This window comes from Homo sapiens, chromosome 10 (genome assembly GCF_000001405.40).
Source record: "Homo sapiens chromosome 10, GRCh38.p14 Primary Assembly".
NCBI lineage: Eukaryota > Metazoa > Chordata > Mammalia > Primates > Hominidae > Homo > Homo sapiens.
In genome coordinates this window covers 42,464,933-42,475,381 of record NC_000010.11, presented here as the reverse complement: position 1 = coordinate 42,475,381, position 10,449 = coordinate 42,464,933, and the positions used below count along the sequence as shown (strand labels likewise).

Below are 10,449 nucleotides of genomic sequence, written 5' to 3'. Positions count from 1 at the left end.
CAGGGTATAGATGCTGGGGTGGGGCAGGAGCCAGCGCCCCCACCGGAATTTGTGGCCACTTCGCCTTTGGCTTTGCCTCCTGCCATGCCCCGCAGGCCCGGAGAATGTGGCCCCAGACTGAAATGAGAAGAAGGTGGCCCCGCCGAGGGTGAGTCTGGGGAGGCTGGAGTGGGGGCTGTGAGGGGGTGCCCGGGCAGGAGTCTCGGCCTCCGCTGGGAGCAGCATATTCAGTGTGTAATGTGAATAACAGGCAAAATAGGTCTTAATTTTTTGTATTATTAGTGACAAAGACTTCCGGTCAACCGCAGGCCGTTAGGAGTTATGCTTTGGGGGAGTTGAGAGTTAAACTTGGATTTTTGACTGTGGGGGGTTAGCATCCATATCCCCCACATTGTTCAAGGGTCAGGTGTATTTTAGAGCACTGGCATGAATCACTTTGGGTCCCACTTGTTGAAAATAGGCATTGACATTTGGAGGCGCCTCCTTGTAGCGAGCAGGTACTACTGATCTCTCTCTTCCACGTACTGACCTTTCCCCAGCTTCTGTGGAACCCTGTTTCCTGGAGTTTACTTACATTCTTTAGTCAATTCTTCTCTAATTCTTCTGAAAGTGGATTTGGAGCAAGGGAAGAGAAACCTGCAGTCTTGGCTGTGTCCAGGTTTTGGTTCTGATTCTTGTGTGCGGTCCACATTCAGATTGGGGTCCTTAATGAAATCCATGGCTTCATCTCTCCTTGCATGCCAGCATCACCCAATCGTGTATAGTTAAACTCGAACTCCCTTTGCACCACAGACTCCCATCTCCAGGTGTTTAACAGGAATTGGATACTGAGCATGTGATATTTTTACCTAAACCTAAATACATCTTTTTTCCTTGTTTCCCTGTGTGCTTGTCCCCTGCCCAACCATCAGCACCACAAATCTAGACGCCTAAAATTCATCCACCTCCTTTGTAATGGCACCCAACCACCACATACAATCCTTTTAAATATCTCAGTTCTGTATTTGGAAAATTACACATTTTAACTGTCTTTTCACTTCATTGCCTTTCCATTACTCTAGGCCCTCATGGTTTCTTCACTGTTAGACTAATGAGCTATGAGTGTTTACCCTCCTAATCCTGCATACTCCTTAAAACCTCAGGCAGAAAATGGAAATTAAACTCGTGGGCATTCAAGGACACCCCCACGATTTTCAGGGTAAAGTTTTTATGGCTTAGCTTAATGCCCAACGACTTTCACATTCCTCTGTTGATAATTTCAATCTCTTGAAATTCTCTCAAACAAAAATAACTAACACTTGTTAACAACTTCGTGTTTCCAGGAAATACTTTAAGCAATTAAAGTCATAATTAAAGTAACATATGCAAAAACCCTATCAGTACTGCTTTTATACTTAAAGTTTTGTTTAAACGTAACCCTGTTTACTTGTTTATGTGTTGTCTATGGCTGCTCTCATGCTGCAGAGGTCGAGTAGAATATGGAATAGATGATGTGGACCACAGCTCCAAACATGTTTACTGTTTTGCCATTTTCAGGAAAAGTTGCTGGATGACTCCTAATCTAGTTGAATGTCTGTGTTACTAGTACAGGGAGATCCTTGCCAGCCAATGTCAGATAAACAAGTTGATTTTATGGACAATTTGTCTCATATATACAAGCACATTTCCAGTTTTTGTAACTGTTAACGATTTATTTTCCCACTTAGTTTGCTCCCTGTAACTTTGAGTGGCTCAACTATTCATCCTGTTTTGATTTCTTCATACCATTTACCCTCCTTCCAGATTATTTAATCAGGTGTTTTTATATTATACCTCAGCAGGGTTCTGAGCTTCTTGTTTGTTTACATGTCTCTATGACCCTCTTTGTTGTTTCATAAATGGATTGATGATATGTAAAATGTACATATTCATGGAAATAGCATTTGTTCCAAGTGACAAAACTATTTATAAAATGAGGATTGTAATTATGTGTGCTATTTGAATTCTGTACATGTATATTTCTGTCCTTGGATTGGAGGCAGAAAAGGGGTGGATTTTGGCTTCAGGCATGGTTTTCTCATCAGAATCCTAAGGTTAGTTCCTCTAGGCATGGGGCTGTAGGATGAATATCCCAAGGTGACAGTCATTGTTGATCCTTAGACCTTATTCTCAATGGGATTTTTAATAAGTGTACTAACATTTTAAGAGCTGTATTAGTTATAAGAAGAAATAGAATCAATTTTTATTTTAAAACGTTTCAATTTGAAATAATTATATACTTCAGAAAAATTGAAATAATATTAACAGTATTTCTGCATACCCTTCACCTATCCCTAATGTTAATGTTTAGCATAATCATAGAACAATTATTAAAGGTGAAAAACTCATACTGAGTCAGTACAGTCAACTAATGTTCAGAGCGCATCTGAATTCTCCCTCCAGTACCCATTTTCTGTCCTCATTGCATGTAGTTCTCATTTTTCGTCAGCCTCCTCCAGTTTGCATAATTTTCTCATTATTTCTTTTGTATTCATGGCCTTGATACTTTTTAAGAATTATATTTATTTTGTAAATATTTTGTAGACTGCACTTCCATTTGGGTTTGTGGAATGTTTCATCATGAAGTAACCTTCCATCTAATCATGAGGCAACATCAGACAAACCCAAATGAAGGTACAGTCTATGAAATAAATACGATTCATGTGGCAGGAATGTCACAGAAGTAATGTTACATACTTCTCAGGGCATTTTATCAGATGGTACGTGATGTTGCCATTACTGGTGATGTTAATCTTGGTACAGTGGGGGCTGCCAAATATTTTTCCCTTTTTAGCTGAAATGTATCATACGGGGAGACATTTAGAGATATACAAATATCCTGTTTGATATTGTATTCTCCCCCATTAGTCCTAGGACCCATGAGTAGATTTTTACCTATAGCAGTTATTACGGTGGAGGTTGCCTAATGATTTCTTTCCATCATTACTTCTGCATTTATTTGGAATGTTCTAGTAGGAAACAGCTGTTGCTTCTACACCACTTATTTATTCAATTATTTATATTATTATGGACTCATGGCTGTTTAGTGTATTCTTTGGATTATGATCCAATGCTAATATTATTTATTTTATTTTCAGGTTGTCTCAACTGTTGGAGTGATCAGACCCAACACCAGGCCATGGGGGCTACTAAGTCTGGCGGAGTCAAAGGAACGAGAAAAGACAAGTTAAAAGAGAAAGTGGGACCATGCAGCCAATGCTAGTGTGGAGGCTGCAAAGGCCCTGAGCTCTGGGATCCCACACTATTTATTGATGATCAAACAAAGAAACAGGCAGTGAAGATGTGGGGGTTGAAAGGAAGCGGTGTATCAAGTGAATGAGCTACAGCTGTGACGGTTTAGCATTTTCTTTGAAACATACGGCTACTTGAGATAAAGGGAGTGCTAGAAGCAAGGAGCCAGCAAGTCTAGACACATTCCAAAGACCACGAGGGGTTTTAATCCTAGACCCTGGACGTGTTCCAAGCCCTGCCTCAGCTTCTCTCCCAACACTCAGCTTTTCTCCCAACACTCAACATTGGCCATTGAGAGCCCCTTCAGGTTGGCACCTGTTTCCTTTTGATATGCCTTCATCATTTTTGAGTTCTTCCTTATTTTTGGCATCACAAAGTGTTCCAGGCTTATCATGCATCTTCTCTGACCTCAGCCCTGAAATTAACCCTATTTCTAGGGAGCCCTGGTTCATCATTAACTGGAGAATGGTACTAGAAACCATGATCTGAGCACTAGGTGTGCTCATTAGCACTGGAATGTCATTTACTCTAGGATCTCTCCATTGACAGAGCTAAGAACTCTATGTTGGTGTACTCACACATGCATTGACATTTGTCTATACCTATCTGACTGTGTACCTACCTACCTACTTATAAAAACTGTGAGTTCTTACTGTTGCCTTTGATTCCACTCTAACACCACTGAGTTTATTCTAGCTTTTCCTTCTTTGTAACTTCTAACAGTGAGAAAATTGGCTTTTATTTTCCAAAATATGTTAACTTGTTTGTTTGTTCCTGGTGTGTGTGTGTGTGTGTGTGTGTGTGTGTGTATGTGTGTGTATAGTAGATTGAGAATTGTGAAACCGTATGCTTGTTGAGAAATAAATTTACTAATTAGAAAATAGTATTTGTGGGACTTTTTTTTGTCTTTAGCTTTCAACAATGAAAATAGTTTTCCAAAGTTACTTAGGCTAGTTATGTTCTTCCCCACCTCTTTCTGCATGCTCATATTATTAGATTTCCTTTTATTAGATTCCCATTTCATTAGGTTCCTTTTTATCCTTTTTAGATATCTTATGCACAAATGTGCAGATAACATGTATAATTTTTAATATCCCCTTCTCATTATATGAAGTGTAGCTTATACCACGTGTGTGTGTGTGTGTATATATATATATATATATACACATTCTCGCTCTGTGTTTTGCATTTTTTCTTTCCACTTAACAATATAGCCTATATTTTAGAACATATTTAAACTTACTTTCATCTTAGCATGCTGTGATAGCAAACAGTTTCATTATTTTTCAGCCATAGAATTTTGTCTATAAAATATTCACTTCAGAAATGTAGAAATAAAGCATCAACATTAACAGAAACATTGTCTTTTTAAGGTTTTTCTTTTTTTTCTTTTCTTTTCTTTTCTTTTTTTTTTTTTTTTGAGATGGAGTCTCATGCTGTCGCCCAGACTGGAGTGCATTGGCGCGATCTCCACTCACTGCAACCTCTGCCTCCTGGGTTCAAGCAATTCTCCTGCCTCAGCTTCCCTGAGTAGCTGGGACTACAGGCGTGTGCCACCACACCTGGCTAATTTTTGTATTTTTAGTAGAGACAGAATTTCACCATGTTGGCCGGGCTGGTCTCGAACTTCTGACCTCAGGTCATCCACCCACCTTGCCCTCCCAAAGTGCTGGGATTACAGGCATGAGCCACCACGCCCAGCCAAGGTTTTGCTTCTTAAAACTTAACATTCTGGGGTCACTCGGGTATTTTCCCACTGTAGACTTATGTTAAAGTAGTATAAATTTTTGGTAGTAATTTAAATGTCTTTATTTATAAATGCACATTTGTGTTTCATTTCTAGCTGGTTGCAGTGTTTGATAAGCAAGATCTACATCATGGAGGTGATGACATCAGTGCCAGCTCCATGCATACCCAGAGCCCGGAGAGATTTACTAGTGCTAGTGAGCTTGGCACCAACAATGTCTCAGCCTTTCAGTCTGATCAAGCAGCAAGTGAAATTGAGGTCACATCTTCAGTACTTCATGCAAGTAAGTGAAAGCTCTTTCTTCTCTGCATACTTCATCTTTTTTTTTTTTTTTTTGAGACGGAGTCTTGCTCTATTGCCCAGACTGGAGTGTAGTGGCGCAATCTCAGCTCACTGCCACATCTGCCTCCCAGGTTCAAGCAATTCTCCCTGCCACAGCCTCCTGAGTTGCTGGGCAGCTGCCGCCATGCCCAGCTATTTTTTGGGTATTTTTAGTAGAGACGGGGTTTCGCCATGTTGGGCAGGCTGGTCTCGAACTCCTGACCTCAGATGATCTGCCCACCTTGGCCTCCCAAAGTGTTGGGATTACAGGAGTGAGCCACCACACCTGGCCACTTCATCTTCATTTGAAGGATACAAAGTTTTGTCATCCATTCTTGCTTCTGTGAATGCAAGGAATTCATTCCTTAAACAGATAATAGAATTCATTACCTGTTTTTATCCAGAATTCAGTTTAGAACCTTGGCAAATGTCTTTCAAGAGAAGTAGGCATATTAAAATCACATTTTAATGAATTAAACTTACTTTAGTCAATTTTTCATGGCAGGGCAGGATCCATCAAGGCAGGGGGATAGAGAAATACTTAAACACTGGTATGGCCCAAGTCCCAACCAGTTTTAGTATATGTGCTGCTGAAGTGAGCACCCAAAGTCCCAACCAATCTGAATGAATCATTCCACCATATCCAGCCAATATTAATATTATTCATAATAAAATCTTAATAAATGAAAGTACAGTAAATAAAAAATGAATATAAAATACCTAAACATAAATATGTCTTAAAACACTAGTTGAGGGTTCTAAACATACCAAAAATAACTGTTTCAAGACGCTTTAAAGCATTGCAATTTGTACAACCAAAAGGAAATACATCTTAAGGAAAAAAATGAATTGCCAAACAAGGACCCTAAAACTGTTTGTTGTTGGCATTGTTCATCTTCAATTTGTAGATCGGTATTATAGGATGAAGGAGATGAGGAGAAATAATACTTTAATTCTGTCATTCCTGGTGTCATTGAGGACCTAGGATTCTTAGTATAGGAGAAAGGGGATACAGATAGAAGTTACAAAGTAATAAACAACTACTTTATAGTCCTCAATTTGGATAGGACAAGTCATCATGGATTCATGATTGTTTTTTCTTTACAACCTACACTTTATTGATTTTATAGCAGGAAATTAGAATGGAGAAGATTAAAAGCTTAAAGACATTGAACTGTCCCAGAATGATAACTTTAGAACTTGAATGAATTCAGAAATCTGAAAATTTAATGAATTTAAATTATATTGTGGAAATTTCGAATTGCTTTAGGACTGGATTTAGTCTATGTCTTTCAATATATCAGTGTGTTGTGGTTTCACAGACCTACAACAATACACAGAAATATTTGATACAGGTTGCTATTTATAGATTTTCTTCTTGTTATTTGGTTTGAAAGTGCATATGTTATTGCACTTTCATGCAGCTAATATGATGGTTATTGGTCATCAGTAATAATTTCTTGAGCTCATGATTGATGCAAAGCATTGTGCTAGGAGTTATGGTGGATACACAGAGGTTTAGAACTACGATCCTGGCTTTAAGGAGCTTGCTATCCAGTTAGGTAGGACTGATGGGAGTTCCCCCCTTCACCCTTTGCACATTTTGCACTGAGAATTTACTGATCACCTAAAGTATATCACAAAAACTGCTGTACATTTTCTGTGTACTAACTCATGTAATCATCAAAATAAATAGTCTGAAAAGGAAACTGAAACTCAGAGGCATAATTTAACTTGATTCATGTCATGATATGTTTTAACTCTCAAAAAAAAGAGAACCCAGAAGGAAGGAGCACTCCTGTATGTATTCACAGAAAAAGGCACGAATCAAGGACCAACTTAGTAAGGCAGCATTTCTCATATCCAGGCTGTATTCTGGAAATAACAATTTTTTTTATAAAAAGAGATCAGAGTTCCTTGGAGAAATACCTGAATTTAGGTCTGGACAGAAGATGTATGAGATGATTCTGGATCAATCTGACATATCATCAAATAAGGATGCTATGAAACATAACTAGGGTATATCAGAGGGCCTAGGAGATGACATGATGCTCCTACTGTCCAAAAACAGGACAATTGGAACTTCAATTGGTATAGTAACAGCAATAAGTGCATGGATTTGTAATTATAATAAATAAGTTTACAAGCAAGAAAAAGGCTGCGAGTGATCCAATTTATTATTTGGAAAGCTGATAAGGGAATAATTCATCTATTCTGCATTTCCTGTGTGGGTGATGTCACTGGATAACTAACAGATCAAGGGGAAGTTACTTTTTATGTAAGTATTTCAGCTAATAAATGAAGGTGTAATGATAGCATTAGAATATTACTATTTTGCAACTCCTAGTGAAATAATAGATCTAGGGATTGATCATTGTATGAAAGGACAATAAAAACTGGGGACCCAATTTACTATGCCAAAAGAAAAAAAGGTAACCTGAAAGCTGAGTCATGCAAGAAGCCACCTTTCCTTGCCTTTGTAAGCAGTTACAGATAAAAGTTTAAACATTTCCACAGGTAGCTACCCCGTTCATCTTTTCTAATTAAGTGCTGATTTATTGAGCATAAGATCAGTACATAATTGACTATTTCCCTACCTGCTCCTTTTCTCTTGCAACGTGAGGATCACCACACATTTCCTATTTCCTCTCTAGGTCACTTTTCCTTTTTAAATATTGAAGCCCTCAAAATCATCTTTGGAGAAAATCAGAGACCACAGACTGTGTCTGTGATTCTGTATTTATTTCTTCTGGGCATGTTCTTAACCTTGGCAAAATAAACTACTACATTGATTGAGACCTGGCTGGGATACTCTTTGGTTTTACAATTGCTATGGTCTTAATGTATCCCTCAAAATGTATCTCTCAGAACTCTAATCCCTAAGACAGTAGTGTTGGGAGCTGCAGCCTAATGGAGGTGTTTAGGTAAAAAAGCTACATGTTATTTGGAAAACTGATAAAGGAGAGAATAAATTATTTATCTATTCTGCATTTCCCATATGTGGGTGGTATCTACTACCCTGTAGTAGATGAGGGGGATGTTACTTTTTATATACATACAAAATAGTTACATCTTATATAAGTATAAAAAGAGCTTGAAGGAATCAGTTTACTTTTTGTCACTCTTCTGTCATGTGAGCACATCACATCCATCCTCTCTCCCTTTCACCTGCCTCCATGTGAGGATGTAGTAGGAATGCCCTCTCCAGAGGCCTCTTGATTTCAGACTTCCCAGCCTGCAGAACTGTGAGAGAATAAATTTCTGTTCTTTATGAGTTACCTAGGTTCAGGAACTCAGTTATAGCAACAGAACACTCCCAACTGGAGTTCTTCAGCACACCCCAGTCCATCCCCTCACTAACCCCCCACCTGTCCAGTCTTATCTGCCTTTATATCAAAAGCCCACAGCTAACCCAGAGGGCTTCAGCCCTGCCCTGCCTGACTTCCTAGGAAGCCCCCCTCTCCACCCACCCTGATCAGAACACTGTCTGAAGGTTCTCTCTCACCATTTTAAAAAGAAATTTGTCTGACAGAGAGGTTCTGGTGAGGAGGCCAGCTCCCACATCAGAGGGAGATTGCAGTTTGGGCTGGACCAGGATAAAACAGTGCTGTCCTGGGGCTGGCCGTCTGATAAGGGGCTCCAGAAAGTGCAGTGATGGAACCCTGGGAGGCTTTCTGCTCTCCTGTCTGCAGGTTCCTGGTGAAAGGACCTATTGGCCACTAGGGTGTCTGCATATGTGTTTGCATGTGTGTGTGTGTCTTTGTGTGTGTGTGTCAGAGTGATGTGTGTGTTCTTGGCTTGATTTCTTTCAGCATGAAGCCCACTTTTTTGCTGAATGTATCTCATTGTTTCCTGAAACTCAGTGCATTCAGCTGGCTCAAGGGTCCTGGGGCCTCGCCGTGGCATATTTGCACAAGCCTAGTGTCTGTGCAGACTGTACACTGGAGTTCAGTTGTAAGACCCTTTTGATCCCTTATCCTGACCCTGTAATAGAAAAGCCATTTCATTTAATGGAATAGAAACCCAGATCTAATGGAGAGATGGTCTAATCTGCCATACATTGGAGCACTATCCATTGATTTGGACTTTGTGGCATTGATGGACATTTCCAGGTTCTCTAGGTGGTGGGCAGAGACCTCACTTTTTAAGAAACTCCCCCACTCCACCCCTGCCAATGAGGACACTGCTTGAGGACATTCCTGTTAATGTTAAGTAGAAGAGATGGTTTCTTTTCTTTTTTATTTTTTTGAGAAGGAATTTTGCTCTTGTTACCTAGGCTAGAGAGCAATGGCCCGGTCTCGGCTCACTGCAACCTCTGCCTCCCAGTTTCAAGCGATTCTCCTGCCTCAGCCTCCCAAGTAGCTGGGATTACAGGGGCACAACCCCACGCCCAGCTACTTTTTTAATTTTTAGTAGAGACAAGGTTTCACCATGTCAGTCAGGCTGGTCTCGAACTCCTGACCTCAGGCTGTCCACCTGCCTCAGCCTCCCAAAGTGCTGGGATTATAGGCATGAGCCACCATGCCTGGCCAAGAGATCATTTCTTGATGTTGAATTTCAGGTAGGGAAGCCAGCTCCTGCATATCAGGGTGGCGGTGCTTGGGCTGAGACAGGTCTAGACAGCACTGTCTGAAAATGGGCTCAAGGAAGTAGCTGTGAAAGGCCCCTGGGATGTTTTCTGCTCCCCTCTCTGCAAATGTCCTGGAGGGACATCCTGTCACTTTGGGGTGTGTGTGTGTGTGTGTATGTGTGTGTGTGTGTGTGTGTGTGTGTGTGTGTGTGTGTGTGTGTTCATCACTTGGTTTTGTTTATGTTTTTGCTTTTCTTCATGAAATCTGCAGAGTTGCCAAAAGTACCTTGATGTTTTCTGAAAGCAGAGCCAATGACCACACTCCAGGGACTGAGTCCTCAAATCTGTGGTATTTGCTAAGGATGGGTGTATACCTGCAGACAGTGTGATGGGGTTCAGGGCCAAAGAACACTAGTTTCTGTGCCCTGTTTCTATGTTAAAAAGACATTTCATTCAACTGGATAACAGGGCAATCTGGTGGAGAAAATGTCTACTCTGCCATAGGATGGGGCAGCAGCCTGCAGTTCAGAACACTGGTGTG

The 10,449-nt window shown here is 40.3% G+C and overlaps 1 pseudogene across 1 annotated transcript in view; it reads left to right on the top strand.

Annotated features, from left to right (window-relative positions):
- Window positions 1-3,141: 3,141 nt before the first annotated feature.
- CCNYL2 (cyclin Y like 2 (pseudogene)) overlaps window positions 3,142-10,449 on the top strand; it is a 64,067-nt pseudogene continuing 56,759 nt past the window's right edge. Inside the window, exons 1-2 of the transcript NR_103829.1 lie at window positions 3,142-3,577; window positions 5,114-5,300. The product of NR_103829.1 is annotated as a cyclin Y like 2 (pseudogene) (transcript). The remainder of the gene's footprint in view (window positions 3,578-5,113; window positions 5,301-10,449) is intronic.